General features: G+C 52.2%; 2 protein-coding genes across 3 annotated transcripts in view, besides 8 other annotated features; one reads left to right on the top strand and one right to left on the bottom strand.

Moving 5' to 3' along the window:
* The window catches only part of ABTB2 (ankyrin repeat and BTB domain containing 2), a 207,024-nt gene extending 196,169 nt beyond the window's left edge, over positions 1 to 10,855 (top strand). The window contains exons 11-17 of the mRNA NM_145804.3: positions 761 to 939; positions 1,489 to 1,594; positions 1,834 to 1,936; positions 2,456 to 2,546; positions 7,073 to 7,141; positions 7,464 to 7,577; positions 9,258 to 10,855. Of these exons, the coding sequence (NP_665803.2) occupies positions 761 to 939; positions 1,489 to 1,594; positions 1,834 to 1,936; positions 2,456 to 2,546; positions 7,073 to 7,141; positions 7,464 to 7,577; positions 9,258 to 9,455 (860 nt within the window). The 3' untranslated portion in view covers positions 9,456 to 10,855. The remainder of the gene's footprint in view (positions 1 to 760; positions 940 to 1,488; positions 1,595 to 1,833; positions 1,937 to 2,455; positions 2,547 to 7,072; positions 7,142 to 7,463; positions 7,578 to 9,257) is intronic.
* Positions 1,078 to 1,578: an enhancer, noted in NCBI's record as "H3K4me1 hESC enhancer chr11:34181811-34182311 (GRCh37/hg19 assembly coordinates)". NCBI's record gives its function as "activates a minimal SCP1, AML or CMV promoter by ChIP-STARR-seq in naive H9 embryonic stem cells {active_cell/tissue: H9 hESC(naive)}" and the evidence as "EXISTENCE:reporter gene assay evidence [ECO:0000049][PMID:30033119]".
* Positions 1,579 to 2,079: an enhancer, noted in NCBI's record as "H3K4me1 hESC enhancer chr11:34181310-34181810 (GRCh37/hg19 assembly coordinates)". NCBI's record gives its function as "activates a minimal SCP1, AML or CMV promoter by ChIP-STARR-seq in naive H9 embryonic stem cells {active_cell/tissue: H9 hESC(naive)}" and the evidence as "EXISTENCE:reporter gene assay evidence [ECO:0000049][PMID:30033119]".
* Positions 5,785 to 6,286: an enhancer, noted in NCBI's record as "H3K4me1 hESC enhancer chr11:34177103-34177604 (GRCh37/hg19 assembly coordinates)". NCBI's record gives its function as "activates a minimal SCP1, AML or CMV promoter by ChIP-STARR-seq in primed H9 embryonic stem cells {active_cell/tissue: H9 hESC(primed)}" and the evidence as "EXISTENCE:reporter gene assay evidence [ECO:0000049][PMID:30033119]".
* Positions 6,879 to 6,928: an enhancer, noted in NCBI's record as "active region_4596". NCBI's record gives its function as "activates an Ori minimal core promoter by ATAC-STARR-seq in GM12878 lymphoblastoid cells {active_cell/tissue: GM12878}" and the evidence as "EXISTENCE:reporter gene assay evidence [ECO:0000049][PMID:35858748]".
* Positions 7,469 to 7,518: an enhancer, noted in NCBI's record as "active region_4595". NCBI's record gives its function as "activates an Ori minimal core promoter by ATAC-STARR-seq in GM12878 lymphoblastoid cells {active_cell/tissue: GM12878}" and the evidence as "EXISTENCE:reporter gene assay evidence [ECO:0000049][PMID:35858748]".
* Positions 11,393 to 11,922: an enhancer, noted in NCBI's record as "H3K4me1 hESC enhancer chr11:34171467-34171996 (GRCh37/hg19 assembly coordinates)". NCBI's record gives its function as "activates a minimal SCP1, AML or CMV promoter by ChIP-STARR-seq in primed H9 embryonic stem cells {active_cell/tissue: H9 hESC(primed)}" and the evidence as "EXISTENCE:reporter gene assay evidence [ECO:0000049][PMID:30033119]".
* NAT10 (N-acetyltransferase 10) overlaps positions 14,934 to 26,913 on the bottom strand; it is a 41,280-nt gene continuing 29,300 nt past the window's right edge. For both annotated transcript variants that reach the window (NM_024662.3, NM_001144030.2), the window contains 11 exons: positions 26,551 to 26,667; positions 25,067 to 25,200; positions 24,816 to 24,864; positions 22,555 to 22,651; positions 22,347 to 22,457; positions 21,270 to 21,442; positions 20,634 to 20,753; positions 20,025 to 20,123; positions 19,494 to 19,567; positions 18,314 to 18,397; positions 14,934 to 15,758 (listed from right to left, as the gene is read on the bottom strand). In NM_024662.3, coding sequence (NP_078938.3) covers positions 15,650 to 15,758; positions 18,314 to 18,397; positions 19,494 to 19,567; positions 20,025 to 20,123; positions 20,634 to 20,753; positions 21,270 to 21,442; positions 22,347 to 22,457; positions 22,555 to 22,651; positions 24,816 to 24,864; positions 25,067 to 25,200; positions 26,551 to 26,667 — 1,167 coding nt within the window. In that variant the 3' untranslated portion in view covers positions 14,934 to 15,649. The remainder of the gene's footprint in view (positions 15,759 to 18,313; positions 18,398 to 19,493; positions 19,568 to 20,024; positions 20,124 to 20,633; positions 20,754 to 21,269; positions 21,443 to 22,346; positions 22,458 to 22,554; positions 22,652 to 24,815; positions 24,865 to 25,066; positions 25,201 to 26,550; positions 26,668 to 26,913) is intronic.
* Positions 16,232 to 16,401: an enhancer, noted in NCBI's record as "active region_4594". NCBI's record gives its function as "activates an Ori minimal core promoter by ATAC-STARR-seq in GM12878 lymphoblastoid cells {active_cell/tissue: GM12878}" and the evidence as "EXISTENCE:reporter gene assay evidence [ECO:0000049][PMID:35858748]".
* Positions 16,632 to 16,871: an enhancer, noted in NCBI's record as "active region_4593". NCBI's record gives its function as "activates an Ori minimal core promoter by ATAC-STARR-seq in GM12878 lymphoblastoid cells {active_cell/tissue: GM12878}" and the evidence as "EXISTENCE:reporter gene assay evidence [ECO:0000049][PMID:35858748]".

Genomic DNA, 26,913 nt, shown 5'->3' with positions numbered 1-26,913 from the left:
CTAACACACCACACTACTGTCAATGTGTCGCTGGGGAATGCCGTCAGTTCTTTGATCCACAGTGAGGTTGGGGTAAGAAGCTGTCTCTCTAATTACCAGGGACAGGACTAGTTTATGTCATGAACTTCCCACAGCAATGTTAAGTTACAGCCCCACTGACACATGCTGGGGAACTGTAAAACAGTCATTATGTGCCTGGGGATGTGCAGCGGCTTTCCAGTGCTCTGTGTGCTGGAGAGCCCCTCGTGATAGGACCGGGTTCGTTTCAAGCTTCCGTGCAGACAAGGAGGCCTGTGTGTCCTTGAGTGCCTGGCATATTCTCTGGCCATCCAAGCCCTCCTGGCCACCCCTCCACAACTAATGAGACCTCTCTAGCAAGTAATTCTTGAGCCCACTAAGCAACAAGGCTACTTTGGGTGCTGGGCCCATACTTCCAAATCCCCAGGCTGGGCGGTCAACTTTCAGAGCTTGAGTTCCCTGCATTTGGGCCGAAGCCATTCCTCCACCTCATCTCATGAGAACCTGAAACTCCACTCTGACCTGCCAGCAAGACCTATTAGAATGAATTAAAGCTTTCATTCTATGGCCATCCTGAGAGGGCCACTCCATGCCCAGGAAGGGGGCAGGCGGGAGGGGGCGGGCGGGGTGCTCTGCAGACAGCGGGGGCATCCCGAGAGAGTCTGCCCAGAAAAGGCTGTGGTCTGTGCCGGGAGCGCTCAGCTGTGGTGCGTGACTGCCTGCCCTTCCCTGCCTGGACCAGGAGTCCCCTGGAAGCTGCACATCTGGATCGAGTCTCTGAGGACCTCGTTCTCGCAGTCGCGGTACTCGGTGGTGCAGAGCCTCCTGCGGGACTTCAGCTCCATCAGAGAGGAGGAGTACAACGAGGAGCTGGTGACCGAGGGCTTGCAGCTCATGTTCGACATCCTCAAGACCAGCAAAGTAAGTGTGGCCAGTGGCCAGTTCCCAAGCCCACGGCCCAGACTCAGACCACGGGACACACAGATGGACACACAGGCAGACACGTGGACAGACACAGGGACCCCCTCACCCAACGCACACACACTCACACGCCTGCCCTCAGCACCCAGGGACCCCCCCACCCAACACACACACACGCCCGCCCCCAGCACCCAGGCCCCCCCCCCCACTCAACACACACATACACACACACACGCGCGCGCGTGCACGCTCGCCCCCAGCACCCAGGAACCCCCCCACCCAACACACACACACACAGCACCCAGACTTAGACTTGCGCTGCCTGGCTGTAGAGGGCAGGGGCCATGGGCTGGAACCTGACCAAAAAAGCCATTTCGGGAATCACTGATGAAGGAACAGGCATCTCTTGCCAAGCCACATCCAGCAGGAACAAAAGATAGCGGCTGCACTACTCCTGGCCTGGACTTTTGAAATTAGCCTGACGTATCTGCATCTGTGAACAGCCAGCCACAGCGGGCAGCTCACAGGCCCTCTCTCCTCTCCCCACAGAACGACTCCGTCATCCAGCAACTGGCTACCATCTTCACCCACTGCTATGGCAGCAGTCCCATCCCCAGCATCCCAGAGATCCGGAAGACCCTGCCGGCCAGGCTAGGTGAAGGCGCGCCCCCTGCGCCCTGCATCACCACACGTCCTCCCCCTCTTCCCTTTCCTGCTTCCTCCCCACTTTGTCATCTTTCTCCATTTCCAAGCGCCAAGGCCCCAGCCTCAGTTTCTCTGTTCCTCACCTCTGTGTCCCACCCCCAACCCCAGACACGCACCTCACAGCACACTCAAGCAAACCCCAGCAGGGGACTCCTCAGCCATATCCCTCTGTCTCCCCGCTTTTCACAGATCCACACTTTTTGAACAATAAGGAGATGTCAGATGTGACCTTCCTGGTGGAAGGAAAGCTGTTTTATGCACATAAAGTCCTGCTGGTGACAGCTTCTAACAGGTAGGCAGCCTCAGATAACAAACTCCCAGCCCAGGGGCACAGAAGCACCTTGTTTCAGATTCCAGGTGACAGAGAGTGACTCGCTGGGGCTGTACCCTGCAGCCTCTGCCCCTCAGACTGCAGTCACATTGCAGCAGAGCCCCACTCGCCCCACAGCGGGATGAGACGGGGTGGACCCAGGGCAGCAGGAAAGGGGGGCTCTGAGGTGGTGTTCTTTCTGGCCTAGTTATTGCTTTTATTATTAGAAAACATAAATATCCTGGAATGAAGAGTCAGCATTCTGGCCACAGGCGTCAGGTCGCTTGTAGGGTGGGTGGTGGGGACAGAATTGGGCTCAGCTCAGATGTCTTCCTAAGATGGTGTAAAATGGCACTTGCTGAAAATTATTTTAGGAGCACAGCAGTAATTTTTAAAATGTTCCGTCTTGTGGTAGCCGGTCAGGTGACAGATGGTGCCATCGCCACACAGTGGTGAAGTAAAAGGTTCAAAACCCACCTTGCTTTGTCTCCTTTGCTCCAGGTTCAAGACACTAATGACCAATAAATCAGAACAGGATGGGGACAGCAGCAAGACCATCGAGATCAGCGACATGAAGTACCACATTTTTCAGGTGTGTGGGTCTTGGTGCCGCCCTCTTCTCAGAGGGATGACCCTCCCCCAGGAGCCCACCTTGTGGGCAGCTGTGCATTGGTTGTCATTGTTCACTCTATTCCCAGTGCCTTCTGTATTCTGTTGAATGAATAGAGCATCCAGGTCTTTCCCTGTGCAGAGGTAGCCATCCGTTGTGGGGCTGCAGCTTCAGAGCCTGTCACATGGGTCCTGAGCTCTAACCGCTGGACAGGTGGTCTGGGCAGCCTGCAGACAGACGTGCAAGGACAGATACAAGCCACACAGCTGGGGTGTGAGTCCTTGTTATCAGGGTGGGCTCCCAGCCAATGGGCATTACTGAGAGCTTGTTGGAAATGCAGAGCCCCAGGCCCCACCCCAGCCCTCCTGCATCTTCACAAGCTCCCCAGGTGGCCATGTGCTCAGTGCAGTTTAGGAAGTGCTGGTGGAGGCTGCGTCACTTCTCCCAAGCATCAAACCCCGGCCACATTGGTCAAACACGTGGCCGTGAGGCACACATCCTGACTGTAGATCAAAGTCAGGTCTTTCGGGCTTTAAGCTTTGCAGAACATACAAGGTTACATACTAGAAACTCCAGTCAGGGCAGACAAGGTCCAGAGGAAGACCTGGCTGGGATCTCAGCTGAACCCCACTGAGAGGAGCTTTCTAGAAAGTAGCAACTGCAGGTCTCCAGGCTGTGTGGTGGGCTCAGGGCTGCAAGAGCTGACCCTTATGGGCTGGGACTGAGGCCAGGAGGCAGCTGGCAGGTGGGTCTAGGGCCTTGCCCTGCACAGGAGTGGTTTGTGATATAATAGGAGAGATTGCAAACCCCAGAGTCTCACAGAAGCACATGGGGCCACCTCTAAAATGGCTTTTTTTTGTTTTTTTTGACACGGAGTCTCACTGTCGCCCAGGCTGGAGTGCAGTGGCATGATCTCGGCTCACTGCAAGCTCCACCTCCCGGGTTCACGCCATTCTCCTGCCTCACCCTCCCGAGTAGCTGGGACTACAGGCGCCCGCCACCACACCCAGCTAATTTTTTGTATTTTTAATAGAGATGGGATTTACCATGTTAGCCAGGATGGTCTCGATCTTCTAACCTTGTGATCCACCCGCCTTGGCCTCCCAAAGTGCTGGGATTACAGGCGTGAGCCACTGCGCCCAGCCTCTAAAAGGTTTTAAGCAGTAGGAGGAACTCACCATTACTAACACTTAGGCAGGCAGGGTTCTAAGTGCTTTGCTTGGTTTCCATTGAGGCCTCACAGCACAGTTCCAGGGAGGTAGGTATGTTATTATCCCCTCTTGGTAGAGGAGTCAGAGGCATGGAGAGGTTGAGTAACTTGCTCAAGGTCACATAGCTGGGAAGTGATGGAGACAGAATTCAAACCCAGGATGTGCAAAACAGCCAAGTTTGCATTTGCAGCGGTAAGAAGGGATGGAAGGGGGCATGGCCACCTCCAGGGGACCAGTTAGGGGCTGCTGAGGAATCCAACTGAGTGACAGTGGTGACCTGGATTGGCAGTGGCTGGGGGGATGGAGGGAAATGGACCAGGGAAGAGTGGATGGGACTTGGAACTTGGTAACTGACGGATGTGGGAGGAGGGGAGGCCCAGGGTCTGGCATAAGCCAGGTGGCGTCTCCCCTTCCCTCTTTTCTCACCCCTTAATCCAACTCACTGGAGAATGGGCAGCTTTAGGAACATGTCCAGGTGAGTGGGAGCAGGAGGTGGAGTCATGCTCAGATCAGGCAGGAGGCAGGTCCTAGAGGGGCTACAGGGATCGCTGGAGACTGGGGAGCGCACTTGTGGCCATGGGTGACCACTGCCTGTAAGGGGACCTGTGCGGGCTCAGTCGCCTGTGCTCACCTGCCAGGCCAAGGGAGGGCATCTGTCATAGAACAGGCTCAGCAGCCCCTTGGCACCTCCCGGGGTTGCTGGGAGGGCAAATAGGGGACAGGCTTCAGGTCCACAGCACACACATGCCTTCCCCTGGGCCTCTTGCCAAGTTCTGGCCGACTGTTCTAACTAGGCCCAGGGCACTGGCCTTGCCCCGTGGGTCTCCTGGGTACAGAATTTTGCCATATCCAGGGCATCATTTCAGATGGGGCTTCCAGACCTCAGCTCCGACTTTCCGGGCCTCCCTGGAGGGGTCAGCCTGAAGCCATCAGTCTGGGGTCAGGGCTCCCTAACAAAGCCTGCAAGTTTTCCAGCAGCCCCTAAATACCGCATTGACTCTCATGCAGGCGGGGTGGGGTGGGGGTGTGTGGATCATTATTTTGTTTTCTGGAGGAGGAAACAGAGGCCCAAGGACATCTAGACAGTACTGTCGGATACAGTGTGAGGCATACATTGTAATTAAAAATTTACTACTAGTCACATAAAAAATAAAGAGCAGGTGAAATTGATTTTAATATTTTTGAACTTACAGTATAGCCAAAATATTATTTCAACATGTAATCAATGTAAAAAGTTACTCACAGCCGGGCACGGTGGCTCACGCCTGTAATCCCAGCACTTTTGGAGGCCGAGGTGGGCAGATCACCTGAGGTTGGGAGTTCGAGACCAGCCTGACCAACATGTAGAAACCGTATCTCTACTAAAAATACAAAATTAGCTGGGCGTGGTGGTGCATGCTGCATAATCCCAGCTACTTGGGAGGCTGAGGCAGGAGGATCGCTCGAACCCAGGAGGTGGAGGTTGCGGTGAGCCGAGATTGCGCCACTGCACTCCAGCCTGGGCGACAAGAGCGAAACTCTGTCTCAAAAAAAAAAAAAAAAAGTTACTGAGCATATAGCCCAGAGGGCCCCAACCCTGCCCTTCCCACATGGTTTCTGCAGTATCAGCTTCCAAGTGGCCCACTCAGGACAGAAGGAAACCCTGCTGCCCTTCTACAGGTGGTCCTGTCTGGGGCCTTTCCTCAAGCAGCCTCTAGCCCCACAGGCTGCCTGGCTCCAGGAGGCACATGACCTGTATCCTGCTAGGGACTGCCAGGCTGTGCAAAATTCACCCACCTCTGCCTGCTGGCTGCCCAGCTCCCATAGCAAGGCTCCAGGTGAGCCGTTCTGATCTGACTTCTGTGGCCTCATATGCATTCAAGTGGCCTCAGGGAGATCCATGTGCCACGGATGCCAAGACTGGGCCTTGCCAAAACCAAATCCTAAAATGCAGCAGGAGGTAGCCTTCCAGGCCAGGAAGGGAGCTGCAGCCTAAGGTGGCTGGTAGGCCTGGCCCTAGGGGCTGCCCTGAGGCCATCCCTTAGCAAAGAATCCCAACAGGAAGATCTGACCTGCCTGCCTGGTGCTCTAACCCCAACCCTGTATGAGGGGCATTCCAGGCACTGCTCCTGCTGGTGCCTCACCTTACTGAGCACTCACTCAGTGCCCTGCATGGGGAGGGCAGAGGGACCTGGGCATGGCCTGCCCAAGGCACACACTATCTGGAGGGAGCAGACGGACACTTACTGTGCAATCATGAGCTCACCACCCAGGCTCCAGCAGGGGCTGCAGAAGGCCGTGGGAGCTTCCCAGACCTCTAGAGGTGGGAAGAGGCTGACATCTCCAGGGTGGGCCTTGGCCAACATCTCCTGATGCCTGAACAAGGCTGGCAGGCCTGTCTCCCCACTTCTCTCCCCACAGTTGGGCCTTCTCCTAGACCCTCTGGTGCCTCTGCAGCCTCAGGGCCGGTCTTGACAGAGCCCGACTGTGCCGGCTGGAGCTGTGTTTACTTACACACTTGCCAGCTCCTTGCTGGAGCCGTTTCTTCAGCCAGCCAGAAAGAATTGTTTTTCTTTTTCCAACTGGGAACCTCACTAGGCTCCAGCGTGATGGCAGAGTTTGTAACTGAAACCTCAGCAGAACTAAATCGTTCCCGGTCCTGGACCACCTCATCTGGGAGCCCAAGGCAGGGCTCAGCCTGTCGAGGGGAGCTCCGGGCCTCCGGGCCTCCGGGCCTGGGCTCTGCGCTTTCTTTTTGAGGAAGCACACCTGAGACAGAGCCCAGATGGGGCACTCACCTCCACATTGGAGTCCTTGTGCAAACAGGGGAAGGCAGGAGGCAGCGTCCTCCAACATCCCTTCAGAGACCCTCCCACTGCTACTCCCTGTGTAGAATTTAGATCACACCAGCAATGAGCCACACGGGGCCAGGCATGATGCGAGAGCCCTGCTGCAGGCATCAGGGGAGCTGAAGGACTTGAGCCAAGTCATCTTCCTTCCCTGGGTCTCAGTTTCCCCAGCTGTGAATAGGAACTTCCCTCCTGGGCTCACCGTGTTCTCATGAGGATTGTAGGGAAAACATTCCAAGGAGAGAGCCTGTTATCCGGGCAGGGACTCAGGAGAGAGGGTCTTGGAGTTGGCTTCCCCGGGAAAACACAAGTCTCAGCCTGAGCAGGAGAGGGAGGGAGAGACAGAGCTGGGGACCTGCAGAGGGACAGGCCCCTGGAGGCGGCAGCTGGAGCAGTACCCTGTGGGGCTGGCAAGGACTTTCATGCCTCAGGTTCACGTGGCATTCACATGGGCCTCTTCCCACCACAGATGATGATGCAGTATCTGTACTACGGAGGAACAGAATCCATGGAGATCCCCACCACTGACATCCTGGAGGTGAGACTCGGGAGAGGGGGAGGGGGCCTGGGCTAGGGTGCCCAGCGGCTCGGTCTCCCATTCACCCCCTTCAGAGGGAAGGTGGCTCTTCCTCTCCATCTGACAGGAAGAGCAGTTCCCAGAAAGAGGAACTGTGCACACCACTGAGCCCAGCCTCAGTGCGTGTCCCAGCGGGGATGGTTAGGCCCAGGAGTATCAGAAGGTAGTGGGGCCTGAGGGTGGAGGCAGCAGGGCACACGGCACTCGGGAGCTTTCTGTTCGGTGCTGTCTGGGCCACTGGTCTGGCCATGGGTCCCCAAGACCTGCTCTGCCTCCCTACCAGCTGCTGTCAGCTGCCAGCCTGTTCCAGCTGGATGCCCTGCAGAGGCACTGCGAGATCCTGTGCTCCCAGACCCTCAGCATGGAGAGTGCCGTGAACACCTACAAATATGCCAAGGTGAGGGCCAAGGATGCCTGCTGGCCACCTCCCACCACATGCTCTGCTCCACGGGGGCCTCGGCCGTGTGGCTGCACTGGGGATGAGCTAGGAGATGCAGGTGACCAGGCTGCTTCTGAGGGCAGTGTAGAGGCTGAGGGAGGGTTAGCAACTCCCTGTGTTGCCTGGGGTCACTGCTGCCCACTGGCCATGTGGTAGCTTGGGAGGTGAGCTTTTGAGCCAGCTGCACCCTAGTTCACATTCCAGCTCTGCCACCTGGGCTGTGGTAGCTGGACAAGTTGCTGAGCCTCTGAGTCAAATCAAAGCCATAGGTATTTACTTTTCTCCCCTACCTGTCTGTGCCTCCCTAGCTGTCCCATCTCAACAATCAACATGGTCACTGCTCAGTTGCTCAGACTCAAAACTCAGGAATCATATTTGATTTGCAAAAACCCTCCCATATGCAAGCCACCCACCTCTGAAACACACCAGCGGTTTCTCCACTTCCCTTCATCTCCACTGCCCTCGCCTTGCCCTAAGCCACCACCATCACTCTCTTGGACAATGGCATCAGCCCAGCCTCCCTACTTCCTGGCTTTAGCCCTGCAATCCACAAGCTTCTTTCAAAAGTTCAAAAACCATGGCCAGGCACAGTGGCTCACACCTGTAATCCCAGTACTTTGGGAGGATGAGGCAGGACCAGGAGTTTAGACCAGCCTGTGAAACATGGCAAGAACCTGCCTCTACAAACTAGCTGAGTGTGGTGGCGTGCATCTGTGGTCCCAGTTGCTCAGGAGGCTGAGGCAGGAAGATCAGTTGAGCCCGGGAGGTTGAGACTGTAGTGAGCTGTGATCATGCGCACTCCAGCTTGGGCAAGAGCAAGACTTTGTCTCAACACAACCCCCGCCCCCCAAAAAAGTACAAAGACTGTGTTACTCCCATACTTAATCCCACCAAAGGTTTTCCACCTACTGCAGGCTAAATAATAGCCAGCCCTTATCATGCCTTCCAAGGCCCCCAAGGTCCTGCCCACATCTCCCCTCACTCTGCCATGCTTCCTTCTCAGCGTGCCCAGACCCCAGGACTTTTGTGACACTTCCCTTTTCCTGTAAAGCTCTTTCCCGCCCTTCATCTTCACAACTGGTGTCCCCAGGCCTCCCCTGGCCTCTCACAAGCCATCCTGTCACGTTGGCTTTACCTCCTTCACAGTCTTCTGCAGTTACCTTGTCTTTGGTTCCTCAGATTCTGTCTGTCTCTCCCAAACTAGGACATCAGCAGCACTGCAGAGATCTTGACCTCAGAACTGAAAACCCAGAGCGGCCCCTTGATATGTGTTGAGTGAACATCTTTATCCAGCATTTACCATGTGCACAGTCACATGCCAGGCCTGGTGCTGAGCCCTGGACACCCAGTGGTGGACAGTCCCCGTTCCCACCCTTAGGAAGGGAACTTCCAACCCAACAGGGATGACTGCCACTTAACAGGGCAGCATGACAGTATGACACAGGCAGGAAAATGACGGGGGCTGAACAGTTCAGATATAGCAGAGGTGGCCTCAGGATGCAGGGACAGGGAACGCCTACCCTGGCCAGAGTGGGGCTTAATCAGGGCTGTGGCCATGGGTAGGTAGTATTTGGGGGTGAGGGTGAGTGGGGCTGTACTAAGGCGATGGGCTTCACCCCTCCTCTCTCTGCCCTACAGATCCACAATGCCCCAGAACTGGCCCTGTTCTGTGAGGGCTTCTTCCTCAAGCACATGAAGGCCCTACTGGAGCAGGATGCCTTCCGGCAGCTCATCTACGGCCGCAGCAGCAAAGTGCAGGGCCTGGATCCACTGCAGGACCTGCAGAACACCCTGGCAGAGCGCGTGCACTCTGTCTACATCACCTCCCGGGTGTGAGGCAGGGGGCGGAGGCTGCCGAGGCCAGGGCCTGTGGAGGTGCCAGGGCCCACCATGTCGGGGTATGGTTGTAGGCCCTCTTGGAGCCAGGTTCACGGGGCTGTTTCCTCCTCCTCCCCCAGATGTCCCCCCTGTCACCGGGCAGCTCACCCTCATCTCCTCTGCCCTAGAGCTGTTTGTTCAATCACTGATGGGCAAAGGGGAGATGTAGCTAACTGGTGGCCCTCCTCCCCATCTCAGTTTGCAACTCAAGGGCAGCCATGCACTCCCCCGGGGTGTCGCTCTCCCCTCCTGCAGGTCAGCAGCTGATCCTGATCCACCTCCGCCCAGGCCCTCCAAGCTCTACTCACCCCTAGGGCCTCAGTAAACTCAGACCATCCCAACTGGGGCTCCTGGGGGTACAGGAATCCTTATGAATGTATAGAATGCATACTGCCTAGGCCCCCAGTCGTCTGCAGTAATTCAAAAGCTGGTATTTTTCTTCCTAAATGTCACATAGCAAAGGCTGCCCAAATCCCCAAACTTGTTCTTCAAAGGTTTGACAGGCTTAATGTGGGCATCCAGTGGCCTGTGGACCCCCCCCTGCCACCACGACTGCTGCCACCCGGAGTTCCCCCATTGTCTTTGGTGCCTGGGCTTCCAGAGTCCCTCCCATCAGGACTACCAGCTTGCTCAGTTAGCAGCAGAGGGCAGTTCCCCAGCTTGATGGTTTCTGAGCTAAGTCTGGCATGGAGGGGCAAGGGGTAGGGGATGGGGTGCTGTGTAGGAATGGCCTCAGCTCTTGTTTTGCTGCTGGTTTTAGGGGCCAAAGTAAATGGGTGGATTCTGGAACCTCAGGCCTAGACTAGGTTGCCTTTGTGGGGGCGATGAAGCAGAGTCCCCTGGTCAAGTCTCTCGGCTCCTTTAATGTAGGATTGAGAGCTGGGCAAACAGGTCCCACTGGGGACTGTGACTCTTGGAGATTAAAGGACAGGGCATTGATGGAAGGTAAGGGCCAGGAGAAGAGGCCTTTCTGCTGTGTCCCCTCACGGCCTTGCCCTCGAATTCTGCAGGCCCTGGGCTCCCCTGACACCTGTCATATTTATGGACCAGACACTGGGGCAGCATCAGGCACAGTCTGTCTGGGTGCAACTTCTTCAGCTGTCTGGCCGCACCTTAAAAACTATTTATTCACCAAAAGCCCCAGGCATTTCAGAAGGTGGCACTCAGGTCACCCTGAAAAGCCCCCAGGGGCTTGCAATTCTGGAAAATATTTTGACTAGCTGCTTGGCTGGATGTACAAAGAAATAGGCATTATTTTATTGCTGTAATATTGTATGATACTTTAACTGTACAATAATGTTGTCACTTACTGTAAATGTACTATGGTTTTATTAACAATAAACACTCATTAACAATGACCTTGGCCTCACTGCTCCTGGTAGAGGGTTACTCAGAGTTCAGAACTGGGGAGGAGCCCCTTAGGACCAGGAAGAGATCCCAGAGCTAACGCTGTTACTCAGGTCTCCCCCCTCTCAGAGCCAAGACCCTACCAAAGCCATTGCTGTGGCCACCCAGCACTCGCCTCTCTCCAGAAACGAAGCCTGGATCCATTCCTCACCCGCCCACGCTCACATTTAATTAAGCACATGTGTGCCACTGAGCTGGACAGACACCAAATGACTGAGGAATATGACACTATCAGGCTTTCCTGATCTCCACTCCCATCCCCTCCACGGCCCTTTATGTGGGAGCTATTTTGGGGGTTGTCTTCAGAGGCACATCCCCAAATGGCACAGCCCACCAAAGTGGCAGCAGGGCCTCCTTCACCCAGGCCTGACCTGGCCTGATTGATTTGAGGGACCTATCCCTGGGTGACTGCTGCCCCCAGGCCCAGCTAAGCTAAGCTGGCTGTACCACCACAAGGCCACTAGCAGAGGTAATGGAGGGAGATGGTGAGGCGCCGACTCAGGTCCAAGAGTGTACTGGAGTTATGGCTGTAGTTTTAGGTGCAAAGTTCAGGCACAAATATAAGTTTTTAAAACATTCCCTGCCAGTTAGCTGGGCATAGTGGTGCACATCTGTATTCCCAGCTGCTCAGGAGGCTGAGGTGGGAGGATCACAGAGCCCAGGGGTTCGAGGCTGCAGTGAGCTATGATCACCCCTGCACCTCAGCCTGGACAACAAAGCAAGACTCTCTCTCAAAAAAAAAGTCGCCTGCCTGCCTGCCTGAAACAGGTATAGAAATTCCTAAGGTCACTGAGAACCTGAACCAAAGTGGCTGTGGGTCAGTGACCGGCCGTGACTCAGGCGTTAGGGGAACGACATAAAGATCCCAGTCCCTGGCAAAGCCCAATTCCAGCAGGAGCTGCGCAGGGCAGCTCGAGGCCCAGCCTGGGGACCTGTGGCCGCACAGACCCATGGTGCCCTCTGGGGGCCACTAGGAGGGGGCGCACTCCCCCACACCATCTTCCTGTGCAGTGGCCCAAGACGGTGGTGGAGCGGGCTGTCCGTCCCCAGCACTTGCCATTCAAAGTGGCTGCCCTTCATGGGTCTGTGTCCAGCGTCCCCACAAGTTCCCCCATCCCTGCAGGACATGCCTTGGTCCGTACCCAGCCTAGAAAGCAAGATCTAGTTGCATTCTGGCTCCAGATGAGGGATCCACCATTTCCTCTCTTGAGAGGGTGAGTGGGGGGTTGAGAGAAAGTGGAGGTAGGAAGGAGGGAGCGGGCCCCTTGGAGCCTGTGGGTAGCAGGAATACATTTTTGAATAAACATTTAAAATTAAAATAATTACCAAAAAAAAGCAGACATGCTTCCAAGGGGCTAGGACTCAAACAGAAATGATCACTTACCCAGGCAGCTGGACCTCCTAATTCCGGGCCACTGCTCACGGCCTGCCCTGCTCCGCCTGCTATGAGCAGCCACAGGCAGGCTTGGGGGAGTTACCCTCTTACTGGAGCCCTTGAGGACCCAGGTGCTGTGAGCATGGGTTGCATCTACAGGGATTTCACTCGGCTCCAGTGGGTCCACAGGCAAGCATAAGCTGGCGCCTTAGCCGTCTCCAAAGAAAACACCTCTCCAGAGGTGGCAGGTACCAGTCTGCTCCTGCACCGACAGGGCTAACACTGAGATTGTCCTTTTTGAGGCTGTCTGGTTTCTTTCCTGCATTCAAATCTTCTCCTGAAGCTTTCCTTTAGGCTCTCGGCCTGGAAGGCCAGTTATCCTTTTCCACATTAGTCCCCGTGCCAGATACCAGGTGGCTAGAGCTTTCTCAACGGAACCAGCCCAAGCAGGAAGCCCCGGCCTCTCCCTTTCAGGCTGCCTTTCAAGTCCGCTTTGCAGGATCCAGATGATGTTTAACTGGAACCAATTGTTTGTAGAATCAAGGGCATGCCCCCTCAGGGGCAATCCCCTGAAATTGTCTATTCCAGCCCAAGGGGCTTCCGACCCCACCCCCTCCTCCAGGCCTGCAGAATGGCTGCGGGTGTTGTAACAGGCCTCAGATAATGAGTCTACATTTTTCCAAGGTGACGGTCACTTATTTCTGCCCCTCCCCCACCTCCCAGCCTCAGCGGCCCCCTTTGTGTCCCGTCTCCTGGTCATCCGGAGTCCTCCGGGACTTCCGGGCCAGATGAGCAGTGGAAGCACTGAAGCAGGCCGGCATTAGCCCCGCCTGGCGAGGGGGTATGGGGGGTGACCATTTAGTAACCTTCTTTGTTCAGGCTTCTTCAGGCTCTTCCCCTTCTGGTGACAGCACTCATGGCTGGCCTATCTGAATTCATTTCGCAAGTGACATTTCCTAAGACAGCCAAGCTTTACAGATGTCACTCTGTCTGGGGGCCAGATGGTGAGGTGTGGGGGAGACATGCCTTTTCAGGTTTGAAGGAGAACCCAAGATCATGACCATAAAATGCAAAGACCCAAGCGTGTGTTTAGGAACACACACTTTGCAAATAAAGAGGCCTTGTCCAAGGATACAGAGATATTATACAGAGCCAGACAAGTCTGACTGCAAAATGCATGCTCTTCGCTGGCCAAGGGAGACTCCTTTTCTAGCTTAGGTTGTGGTTTTATAACATGGCCAGTCCTGGCCAAGTGTGGTGGCTCATGCCTCTAATCCCTATACTCTGGGAGGCCCAGGCGGATCACTTGAGGCCAGAGTTCCAGACCAACCTGGGCAACATATTGAGACTCCATCTGTACATAATTTTTAAAATTAGGCAGGTGTGGTGGTGAGCACCTTCCCAGCTGCTTGGAAGGCTGAGGTGGGAGAATGGCTTCAGCCCAAGAGTTCAAAGCTGCAATGAGCTATGATTGAGCCACCGCACTCCAGCTTGGGCAACAGAGCAAGACCCTGTCTGTTTTCAAAAGAACACCACAGCTAGTCCTTATTGAGTATTCTTAGAGCTGGCATGTAACTGAACTTGAGCGGCTCCTCTAGTTAGATCTGATGAGTGCCCAGAACCCAGAGGCACTTGCTATGTGCCAGGCACTGTTCTAAACGTTTCCCATTCTACCCCACCCACTTCTCACCACAGTCCCGTGACGGAGGTGCTATTCCTACCACTCAAATTTTGCAGAAATGGACCTGAAGGGCAGGTAGGATGAAGTAACCTGCCCAAGGCCACGGTGAGCGTCAGGGCAGAGCAGTCTACCTCCAGAGCCCTCACCTTGCACCCCAAAGCAGAGCCAGCCGGGGAGACTTTGAGGGTAGAGACACTAAACAAAAGCTTCCTTACCTGTAGGATGATATGCCTGGACAACTTGCACAGTCCCATCCAGCTCTGACCATTTGAGCATGTGACTCTGCTTCTGGCCACGGTCTAAGAAAACCCTCTTTGAAAGGCAGGTTCAGGCACCCACCTGAGAAAATAAATAAAAATTATTTTCATGCCCCCTCCCTGCCTCCAGCAAAATTTCCTACAGACCTAACAGAGGTCTGTGGCCAGGAAACTTCAGTCCCAAGAAACGAAAGACCCCTAGGCTCATGTCCTGACAGCCTCGGTGACAAGCCTCAGCAGCCCTAGGGTCGCATACAGAACCTGCTCTTCTCCCTGTGGGGACGAGTCCTAGGAGCTGTATATGAAATACCCTTAGGCTGAGAAGTTACCGTTTCCTTCCCTGTCCTTCTCTGAACCTAGACAACATATCGGGGCTGCAGACTCATTAGCCTGGATACCATTAAACAAACATACCAAAGTATGTGTAAAGCCACCAGGTTACCTCTGTTCCCAACAAATGGAAGGGACCAAGTGACCTGGAAGGAGCTGGGAAGGAAATGAGGCAGTTCTAGCTGGCTTCCAGCCACCACACCAAGCCCCTCGAGGTGACCATAGCCACCTGCCACTTCTCCCGCAGACTCCTGGGCTGGGAAGCCCTAGACACACTGCTCACCTTTGACCTTGATACCAACACCTTCCAAATTCCACCAGGCAGCCAAGACCCACCAGAAGAAACGTCCAGGTGCGTGGATTTCAGAACACTCACAGGCAGCTGATCTTTCTAGAATGTTATTTATTAAAAATAGATTCTCTATCCTTCCCCTCACCCCTGCGAGCAAAGTGGCCTTTCCCAACATCTTTTCCCAAATGGATGAAACAGGTCTTGAGGACGCAGATGTGGCATTCTACATAAACTACAGGATCAGGCTTTTCTGGGACAGTGGGTCTGCTGGAGCCAAGAGTGGAACAGCACAAGACAACATCAGCAAACCCTGGCGCACCTAACCGCGGGCTGCCATGGATGCCGGGACGGACTGGAGTTCCTCCTGCTCCAGGTACAAGTCCACAAAGAGAGACCCAGCGGCCCAGCAGCAGCCTCCTGGGCACCACCAGAAAGCGATGTACTTAAGGGCCTCAGGCGGTCGAGAGGCAACGTGGCTTCCACATGTGTGGGAATGAGACTAAAAAGCTGGCTCAAAGCAAAATATGAACTTATAGGAAAGGAGGGCCCTGGACTGGGCAGGAAGAGAGAGACTCGTGGCAATTCTAGAGATGGCAGTGCCCAGCCATCAAGTTCTAAAGAGACCCATTTGGGAGTGACTCTGCCTTTAGCCAGGTTGAGCTCACAGACACACAGGCCCAGAGGCCGAATTCGCGGCCAGCTTCCAGGTGTGCCGGGGCCTCTCGTTGCTTTTAACAGTCCAGCCAGAGAGGGTTCAGTTAGTGAGAGTATCTTCCCATGATCAAACACAGATGCCCGAGTTTCTCTTCACTATTTCTTCCGCTTCAGTTTCATATCTTTTTTGTTCTTTGTCTCTCTGTTCTTCAACTTCTTGCTCTGTTTGGGTTCTTGTTTGGCCTCTAACTTCCTTTTCTTGTCACTAGAGAAAAATCAAAAATAGAAAGAATGAAATATGTACAGATCTGAACATCTGAGACTGCTTTAAGCTTGCTTTGCTTTGTCAAAAAGGGTTTCCACCGTCTGAAACTTGATGTAGGCCACCCAATTGGACATTAATGTTCTCTGCAAACCTATTAGGGGGCAGGCATTGTGCTGGGGCTGGGGACACACCATACAGACCAGCTCCTGCCCTGAGCCAGCTCTTAGTCTGTGGAAGAACAAATCTCGATCTTAACACCTGAAATCCGGGTTCTCCTCAGGGTGCAGTACACTCTGCTCCCCTCTCCCAAGACAGACCTAAGGCACCACAAGGATTCCCCACCACCACTCTCACCACTGCAGTGACTCTGGAAACTAGACATATTCATCCCAATGACCCTGAAGACAGTCCTTAATACAAGGCATGAGACTCCAAGGAAAACCCTGCCATACTTTCTGATGTGCTACTATTATTTTATTTTTCCTATATGAGAAGAAGAAAACCCAAACAACAGTAACTCAGGTGACACCCTGCGACCAGCCCCTGGATTCTTCATTGATATCCTGGCATAGGAATCACTCAGCAAACGGCCACCTGCCATTAAGAAACTTACAGGTTAAATTTTGCTCTGGGAACAAATACTTCCCTATAAGGAGACCGTGAAGAGTTCAGTCCAGAGACCATTAACATCATATGAATGAAGTACCTCTCAAAGGAAGAAAAAGAAAGGCCTCAGAGGACTTAATGATAGCTACCAGTATTTTTAGCTCACAAAGTTCAAGCTTTCACATTTACTCAGAGCCATCAAGCACATGAACAACCACACAACACTGGTTTGTTGGGCTCGAGAGGCTTCTCACTACCAGCAATGGCCAAACAAATGGCAGGAAAGGCCAAGCTCTGCAGAGTGAGGAGCTGAGGCCGTCTCCACAGCAAGCATGCTCCCCGGCCTTTTGTTCCAGTCAAAGCCACCGTGCTCAAGGCCAAAGCCATCATGGGCCCTGTGCTACATTTGCCATACTGTACAAAACAGAGACAGGTCACACTGACAGTGGGCTTCTGTGCTGCACCACAAAGCATCTGGGAAATGAGGCCGGCATCGATGCTGGATCCTTCAAGATGCCACAGTGACTAACGGAGACTCTGGAAGACAGTACCTGATTTCTGGGATCTATAGTTCCTAGAGACACAAGGTTTCCTCTTCCCGAATGTTTCCAAAATATAAGCTTTTAAGGAAACCAATAAATAGGGGATTGCCAAAATCTCACCCTCCCCATCAACCCCCAAATCAGCTGTGAAAGCCTCAATTCCAGTGGCTCTGGGCAGGGGAGGCCTCATTGTACTCCCAGGGAAAACTGATGAAGGTTCCAGCCTAAGTTATTTACAAATGCACCACTCTGCAGATAAGAAGCTTGGAGTGAAGATTTTCAAAGAGTGGTCTAGGGACTGCTGGGGTCCCTAAGACCCTTTCAGGTGTCCACAAGGTCAAAATGTATTTGGATTAGTATGAAAACAGTTATTTGCCTTTTTTCATTTTCATTCTCTCACAAATATTCAGTTTTCCAGAGAGTATAAGATATGACAGCAAAATAGTGTCAGTGAAGACACAGACATTAGTATCCGGCTGCCTTCTGTTAAGCCAGATATTGAAGAGATTTGCAAAAATGTAAATGTAAAACAATGCCACTCTTCTCACCAAAATTTTTATGAAAAAGAGTATTTTTCAAAACGACTGAGTCCGTTATTACTGTGAACAAATGAATTTTTTTTAAATTTCTCAGTTTTTCATTTATTTTCTTTTTAAAATTTTTTTGCAGAGACAGGGTCTGCTATGTTGCGCAGGTTGGTCTTGAACACCTGGGCTCAAGCGATCCTCCTACCTCGGCCTCCCAAAGTGCTGAGATTACAGGCGTGAGCCACTGCACCTGGCCAGTTTTTCATTTCTAATATGGGAAATTTCCATAGATATAACCAACAAAAGTCCTTTGGGGACCTTAATTGTTAAGAGATAAAGGAACTCAAAGACCCAAAACCTTGAGAACTGCTGGCTCAAAGGAAGGACAACGTAACAGTTAAACCTATGGCCTTGCAGTGGAGAAACCTGGACTTGATTCTGGCTCCGGCTCTCACTAGCTGTGTGCTTCTTGGGAACTTAACCCCTGAGAGCCTTGTTACTTCATCTTAAAGCAATGACAGTAATAAAACAGCCCCCTTATGCTGTCATCCTGAGGGCTGAATGATGAAAGCCCATAAGCAAGTCTCAGCCAGTGGCAGCTTCTGGACTGTTCCCTCAAGCCCTTCTCCATGACAGGCCCAGTGCCCTGGCATGGCTGACAAATACAAAGAGTGAAGAGATCCATGCCTAAGAGATGGCCCTCCTGGTCTGTGGGACATGCACTGCAAGGGTAATGGCCAGGGGACTCTCAAAGGGAAGAACCATGACTTTTCTGTCAAAGCTTTTGCTCCAACCTCCTATTTTCTAGTCAAAGTTAAAGAGAAGCAGAGAGGCCAGAATGCCTCTTCCGCCAGATGCACATCAGACCCTGGGCCCTCACCTTTTCAGGCTGATGATCGAGGCGTTCGGCCCAGCTTTGTTCAAAACTTCATTCCACTCTTCATCGTCCCCACGGATTATGTATCTAAAAAAAAGAAGGGAACTATCAAAGCCTGCTAGAAAGAAGAGGGGACTGCTTAAGAGAAAATAACGACAGTGACAACATTCTTATCAGACACTTCCTGTCATGAAAGCCAGGCTGAGCTGTGTCAGCATTTGAACAGCAGAAAGGACAGAGGGGACAAGCATGCAGGAGGGCCAAGAGACATGGTGCTTAGCTCTATGGATAGAAGCTCCACAGGAGCGAGGGTCACCAGGCCTGCTGGCAGGGGTCAGTGAGGACAGTCCTGCACAGAAGGCAGCCTGCCTGGCTCTTCCCACATGACTCTCATTAACATCCACCAAAGAAGCTTCCTGTCACCCCCACAATCTTCTCACTCACTCCCACCTCCAAGCATTTGTCCACAAGCCCTTGAACTGTGCCTCTCCCCTCCCTCCCTTCTCTTTCAGATTTAGCAGTCCTGGCAAATCAAGGTTTTGATATTGCAAAGCTGAGGGCAAAAACTAGAGCTCGATTCTCTGTCCAAGGACTCCTGGCCACCTCCACCTCACATACCCAGCAGCCACCATCACTAATGACCCAGAAACAGGACTACAGGTCACAGAGGCTCAGAGGCCATGAATTCTGGAGTTATTATTCACATCAATCCAGGCAGTGGAGGGAGAGGCAGCACCACTACAGCTGAAGCACAAAAGGGACTAGGATTCCCAGACGGTTTTAGAGCAAGGGGTGTTTTGCTTGTTTGGTTGGTTTTAGCAGTAGAATCCTTTCTTCAAACAAAGTCACACGTAAAAGCCAAATAGAGTAAGTAACCATTAAAGGGCCTGCTCATCCAATCGGCACCCCCACTCCTGGAAGGACCCGAGGTGTGACCTGGAGCCTTGGGGATCAGAGAGTGCAATGTGTAAGTCAAAGTGGCGGCACTAGTCTCCGGAACCCAACTCTTCCAAAATTATACAAACAGGCAATTAGAAGGTCAAATAGAACTGTTAGCATCCCTAAAACTGATCCCATGAAAGACACTTTCCAGGGCACGTGGGATATGATTAGAAGAAACGTGTAGGCAGATTCTTAGGGCCCCAGAAGCCAAGGCAAACCCTCTGCTTCCCACAAGCCTTACTCAGAGAGGTCCATGCTCTTCAGCTTCCCTACTTCCTTCTTGTGTTTCTCCTGAAATTCCTTTGCTGCTTCATCCTGTGGTTAAGGACCCATAAAGAGACTAAGTCAGAGTCAAGGATTGAACCAAACACAGGAAAAGGTGAAGCTGGGGTGGAATGGCACAATGATGAGAAAACATTTCCTTCTCTTCCATCTACCTGCAAAAACCTTGTAGGCAGCTTTGATTATTTTAAGGTAGCTCTGTTATAAACTATGCATTTAAGAAGTCACCAAAAAAGACAAAACATTTCCAACAGATGCTGGAATCCTACATTCACAACACACACACACAATCAGTGGGAGGCACAACTCTAGGCCTGTGTGTGCTCAGACAATGCTGGGTCCGTTTGTCCAATTAAACCTACAGAATAGCACTTAGCTCAATTAGTGCAGAGGACTCTTTCTAAAGGGGAAGGGGAAGACAGTCTGAATTCACAGCCTAAGGCAACTGATGGAAATGCTGGGACTCCCGAGGCCATGAGCAGGGACATACTAGGTCGTCACTGAGGGTCTTCATCGTGGGCTCCATGACCACATCCTTCGCTGCCACCATCTGCTCCTCAATGGCCTTTTCCTGAACTTCATTAAATAGCTACAAAAGACAACCAACAGAGAAGCAGAAGATGAAGGAGCAGCAGGGACCCAGTCACCCGTGACCCAGACACTTGGTGTCTTATAGAAAGGTGTGCATTTTGAAGACACAAAGCAACACTCTACAGTTTAGGAATGTGGATATTAGCGGGAAGAGCTGAAGAACACAGACTGGATATGTACCAAATTCCTAATAGGGATGCCTCTGGGAGAGGACACAGAACTTCACAGATTCTTTAGAGCTGAAGTCCTGTATTTGCGCGCGCACGTGTGTGTGTGTGTGTGTGTGTGTGTGTGTGTGTGTGTGTGTGATGTGTGATGAGATGCAGCAAACACAGCTAAATGCTAACATGTGTTCTGAAGTCCTGGATTTGTGTGTGTGTGTGTGTGTGTGTGTGACGAGATGCAGCAAACACAGCTAAATGCTAACATGTGTTCATCTCGGGAGCAGGGAGTGGGTTTGTTGCACTATTTGAGAGACATCAAGCCCCTGCCCTCAGGCTGAGGTTACCTTCACAACTTTGCGGATGATCCGGTTGAAAAGTCCCATCAACTGGCCCGAGGGCAGCTCAATCTCCTTTTCCAGCTGGTCCACAGACTTATGCTGCAGGCCAATCCCCAAGAGAAGAGCCTAAAGGATGGAAAATCTGCTGGGTGGGCCTCTAGGACACGCCCTTGCCCATTAAAATGGCGCCAAGAACCAGAGTACTCTCTTGACCAAAGCTATTGGTACAAAGGTAGACTAGCACTGTGTATATTGGCATCTTCTCTTTCATCCTGTTACTGAGACCACCAAGAAATGCTGTCTTCCTAAAATCCCCAAAGTAACTTTTATCCTGACAAATACCTGCTTCACAACTACATTAAAAGTTTGGGATGTTCCTGAACCTCTGCTAAGGTGGAGTTAAGTGTCAAGGCAACGTAGTGGGGTGGAAGCTGCAGCTCTCTCACTTTGTATGGCTGGACACATTACTCGACTTCAGAGCCCAGGTTTCCTGACCTGTAGAATGAGGATGCCACTACCCACCTATCAGATGTATGAGGAATTAAAGGCACACAATTATGTCCAAGTGCCCAACCCAACACCCAGCAAATGAACAGCTCCACAATCCTCGCTTCTCCTCCACGCAAGCAACAGATAGCATACCGACTGAGCCGCAGACAGGGCCAGGTCCCCCAGCTGGTTCAGGAAATAGATGCGAGAGATGGCCGGGATCATGTCCATGATGAGGTGATAGTCCACCATATTCCGTGAATACATCTCCAGCCGCTTCAGGTCATAGGGGAGGAAGAGTGCTTCCAGCTCCTCCCGGCTCAGGGCTGTCCATGGGATAGAGAGCTAGACAGGTTAGGTCACCCGGCGCCCTCATGAGATAGCACACAGCCCCCAGGCGGCACCCTAACACACAGGAGCATCTAACAGGGCCTGGCAGCCATACCACACAGCCCTGGCCCAGAGGGGCACCAAACCTGCTCCTGCCATAGAAGGGGCGGCTCCAGGCCACGTGTGGGGAGGGGACGGCTGCCACAGGACCCTTGCTCAGTTCCCATACTGAACACATGGACCAAGGAAAAGCTCCCTGTGGCCCAGGGTTAGGGGAACACAACTACACTCTTTCCCTGCTTTGTCACTTCATTTGGTGTCACAGAAAGTGTGTAAGCTCTGCCCAGCTCAAGATATACGGATTTCTCCATCAAAATATAATTGGCAAAAAAGTATATACACACACATATACACATATATGCATGCTATACCTAAATATTTATATATAAAATATGCAATAAAACTAATCTCTTACACATTTTTTGTTTTTTAAGTATTCAAACAATCTGTATGCACAAAGCACTTCTGTGTGCTGTTGGCTACAGAAGGCTAGCAGCATATTCTTATTACAATTTCATGAATCAGGAAACTAAACCTCAGAGATGGAGCACCTCACTCCCCTAGAGCACAGATGTAAATCGGCCTCCATAACCAACCAGCTACATGAACTAAATGGACACCTCTGACATTAAATTGCACAGCCAGAGTCTTACCATGAAAATGAAAGACAGCACAGCCTGGGACAGAGCAGGGGCCTGGCAAGCGGGTGGTGACCAGCGAGTGACTGCAGGCTAGAACCAGTCCCTCAATTTCCAGCCCAAACCCTTCCTAGGACACCACACCCACCTCCCACACAGCCAAGCCATTCCCAACCCTCCTCCCTGTCCCCACCCGGCTCACCAGGCTGGGCTGGCTTCCCCATGTTCCTGTTCTGAATGATGTTCAGAGCCAGGGAAGGAGAGAAGGTACTGAACTGGTAGGAGAGCAAGGCTAGGAACCGCCGTCGGAAATCTGTGGGGTGCCATCACGCAGAGTTAGAGGTCTGGAGGCATCCCCGGCAGCCCCCAATCACCTCATTGTCTCCCCCAAACCCCTACTCCTCAGTCACCTTTCCAGAAGGCTGCAAGCCAGCCTCCCTGGTCAGCCTCATCCTCATCAGTGAGCGTCTTCAGCATGATGCACGAGTGCTCTCCGGTCAGGTCATTCTGGGCAACACAGAGGTTTAACTGGCACCAAGAACCCCCTTTTTTTGAATAACCCATCATTGATGAAGGGTAAACACTCAGAGAAGAAAGGCTTAGTGCTTCCGCAGGCCTCTCCTTCTTTCCAGGCTGGGGGTAGGCGCCCTTCTCAAACAGCCCTCGCCTTCACCTTCCTCATATCACCTCAGTTCACACACAACAGCTGCAAAGATCACTGTCCTGCAATCTCCTCAAAAGTGTCACAGACACAGAGAAGAGCTGCTGGCTCTTCTGGGCCTGCCTCTTGCTCGGGACGTGCGGGAGGGAAATATGTGCTCCTCTCAGGTAGATGCTGAACTCAGTCATTAGGGCTTAAGCGCCACACAATCCAGTCAACATGGGTTTGATGCCTCACAGCAGGAACTCCAGGGCCAAAACCTACACCTCAGTGCTGGCAGCCAGTCTGCAAGTGCAGGCTTCTTTAGGTGTTAAAATTGTGACTATTTTTACATTTTTTACTCCATAACAACAAAGCCCCACACCATAAAAACACCACCAAGTCACAAATGAACAGTGCACAGTGCAAGACCACACGGACACACCGCAGACCACACCACAGCTCACTAGCTTGCGTTCTCCTTGCAGCTGACAGCCAAACTTACATCCTCAGCCTCCACCAAATGTACTGACAGAGACTCAACCCATCTCTGCAGCTCCCTGCCTGCACGGAAGCAGCCCAACACCCAGCAGTCCTCACCAGTCCCACTTTAAACCCTCGGACGGACACTGGACACTAGCCTCTGATACTGACTTTGCCCTCTCCAAAATCAAACCTCCAACACTTCCCTCTCAGCCGATGGACTCCCCTCATCTGGGAAGACAGAAGCACTCAGAAGACAATGTCTTCATCCTCCCAACCCCAGATCAGCCAGCCAACTGATGCCTTCCATTCCCACGCTCTCTGCCTTCCCTGTTCCGAAGGATGAAGTAGGTGGTCACCTCTCTTCCTGAATCTCGAGTCCCACCCACCACCTCCTCAAGGCCTGCACTCTGGCAGTCAGCCCCCCTCACCCATACCACTAATTGCAGGATCGAACCCAGCAGCAAAAAACATTCTCTAGAATCTCCCATCGGACAATCCTTCTTTAGCGCCCATCTCCCTCCAGCGACCTTGTTTCTCTGCTCCCTTTCGCTTCCTGAAAGAGTCGCCTGTTCCCCTTCTAGTTCTTCACCTCCTCTTCCCTCTGGCCAGGCCAAAGCCTCCACTCCACTGCAGCTGCTTCAATGCAGCTCACCGCTGCTGACAAATCCAATGGCCAGCTGTCCTCATCCTCCTCATCCTCTCAACAGGGCTGACTCCCATTCCCACTTTTTCACCTTGACGTGTGACACCACACCCGACTTTCTCTTGCGCATCAGGGCTGTTCCTTCTCAGTCTTGTATGTGCTGTGTCCTCCTCTTCATTCCTCTAAACGTTAGGGTCCAAGGAGTCACTCTCACATCCTTTCATTGGCTCCAGATATTTTTCATTCACTCAACAAAAGTATTTACTGAACACAAACTACACAGCAATTGCTACTCTAAGTGCGAGGAATACAGCAATGAACACAACAGACAAGAGCTCCGTGCCCTCCTGCAGTGCATTCTATTATGAATATGCTGATGGCTCCCAAAGCTCCATCTCTAGCCCCAAACTTCCCTACCTCCAAATTCCTGTAGTCAAATGAATGCCTAGTCCACATTTCCACTTGGATGTCCAATAGGCATCTCATATTAACATCAAAAAAGAACTCCCACTCTTCCCTCCAAATCTGCTCCTCCTGCAGTGAGTCCCATCTCCGACAGCACCTCCAACACCCAGTTTCTCAAGCCAAAACTCTAGGAATTACCCTTGATCCTCCTGTCCACTCTCCTTTCCCAGAATCTGATGAACAAGTCCACGTGTACCTCTGCCATTTTATGACTAAGCTCAACGCATGCACCGTGTAGTCGGAGAAGAAATGTGTGATGATGTGGCCTGTCACTGAGGATGGCTGTTTCCATGTCCATCAGAATAAACCTCTTCAGAGGCACAGCCACCTGCTCAGAGCGATGCAGCAGGGAGGCACTAGGGCTCTTTGCAAGGACAGGCCTGTCACCTACCATAACGGTAAACCTAAACTTCTCCTCTGCTGGATGCCTCACTCACCGGGGTCTGTCTCAGATAAACAGGAACAAATCCAGCTCGTTTCCAGAACCTGCAAAGATACAAAGACAGTAGGTCACTGTGTGTGGCCTCTGGGGAGTGGCTGATAGACACACAAGGGCAAGAGCCAGGAAGAGCACGCCACAAATAGCAGGCTAGCACCGATACCAGCTACCAACAGAGACACACAGCCCACAGAACTCTTCTTTCTCAATGCCAAGGAGTGATGCCGTGGAAGGAGGGCAGGCACTTACTTGAGGAGCCTGGGGGTCAAGCCATAGGAAACACCCAGGTAATCCAGGCGTTCGGCAGGCCTCTCATTCAATTTGAGGAGTAAAGGAGGCAGGTCCTTCCGGGGAGTGATGACCTCTTCCAACAAGCTGACAGCCTGGGAAGATGCCAAGGAGAGAACACAGTCCATTCAGCAGAGGGAGAGAGACATCGTCAAGCACCCTGCCGCAGCGCACTCTGGACTTAGCACAACAAAAACTGGGAGAGGTTTCTTGGTTTATTGCTGTGGTTTTCAAACTATGAGAACACCGGAGTCAAGCAATCATTCTCAAAACACCTCAACATGCATAGAATCACACTGCTTCAGACCTCTAGAATGCAGGAAGACAGCCAAAGAGTTTAGAAACGACTGACAGAGGCCGGGAGTGGTGGCTCATGCCTGTAATCCCAGCACTTTGGGAGACTGAGGCGGGTGGATCACCTGAGGTCAGGAGTTTGAGACCAGCCTAGCCAACATGGCAAAACCCCATCGCTACTGGAAATACAAAAATTAGCTAGGCACGGTGGTGTGTGCTTGTAGTCCCAGCTACTCAGGTGGCTGAGGCAGGAAAATTGCTTGAACCTGGGAGGCAGAGGTTGCAGTGAGCTGAGATCACGCCATTACACTCCAGCCTGGGAGACAGAGCAAGACTCCATCTCAAAAAAAAAAAAAAATGCCCAACAGATTTACAAAGGGACAGGCAGGCTCCTGTGATCCAGCATGAAGTCCAGGTTCTATCACCTGACAGCCTTAGGAAGTGACAAACCTCTGAGCTTGAACTTTTTTTTTCATTGCTTGAGACAGGGTCTGGCTCTGTCACCCAGGCCAGAGTCCAGTGGCGAGATCACAGCTCACTGCAGCCTCAACCTTGGGGTTCAAGCAATCTTCCCACCTCAGCATCCCAAGTAGCTGGGACTACAGGCGTGCACCACCATGCTCGGCTAATTTTTGTATTTTTTGTAGAGATGGAGTTTCGCCATGTTGCCCAGCTGCCTCAACTTAAATAAAAGCCCCTTGTCTAGCTCTCAAATATACATACTATGAAAATCAATGAATGCACATGAAAGGCTGTCACAGTTACTAGTATTAGTCATTCTTATCAAGGAATGACAGAACTTCCCTTAGTCTGGTGTAGGATGAAAGAGATTATAGAGCAGTGATTCTCAAACTTGAATGAGCATCAGAATCACCTGAGAATCTTGTTAAACTACAGATTACAGGGTCTACCCCAGAGTTTCTGATTCAGTAGGTCTGGAGTGGGGCTCAAGAATTTACATTTTTAACAAGCTGCCAGATGATCCCAATGATACTGATCTGAGGATCTAAAGTGTTCGGTAGGAGAAAGCAGCAGAAGAAAATGAGAGAGGGGTCCAAAGCTCTGGACTGGTTTTTGTTGATGCCCCTAAAAACCCAGAGAATTATCCTCCCAAGAACCAGGACACAGGAGGTCTGTCGAAAGATGCTTACCTCGCTGCTTACGGTGTGAATTTCCTGTGGTGTCTCAAGGACCTTTTCCTCCAGACAAGGAAACCTGCCTTCATAGTACATCTGCAGCAGCTGCAGAGCACGGCTGCCATAGCCCATCTAGGAGCAAACGTGAAGGGGAAGAGGCCGAGGGAAGAGAGCTGCTCTCAGTCTAAGCCACAGTGACTCCCCTGCATTGCTTCTAGAGAACCTTCCCTCCCTGTCAAACAGCACGGGGCAAGAGAACCAATGAAAACCCTGAGTGAGGTCAAAGCAGAGACACTTAAGACTGAAAGTAGTGTGACCCGAGTTCTTAACACTGGTCTAGCTCATCAAGAACAGCCACTTGAGGGTAAGGATGGCTGT

Source organism: Homo sapiens, chromosome 11 (assembly GCF_000001405.40).
Source record: "Homo sapiens chromosome 11, GRCh38.p14 Primary Assembly".
Lineage (NCBI taxonomy): Eukaryota > Metazoa > Chordata > Mammalia > Primates > Hominidae > Homo > Homo sapiens.
Note: the sequence above shows the minus strand (reverse complement) of the source record. Positions and strands in the feature narration are given on the sequence as shown.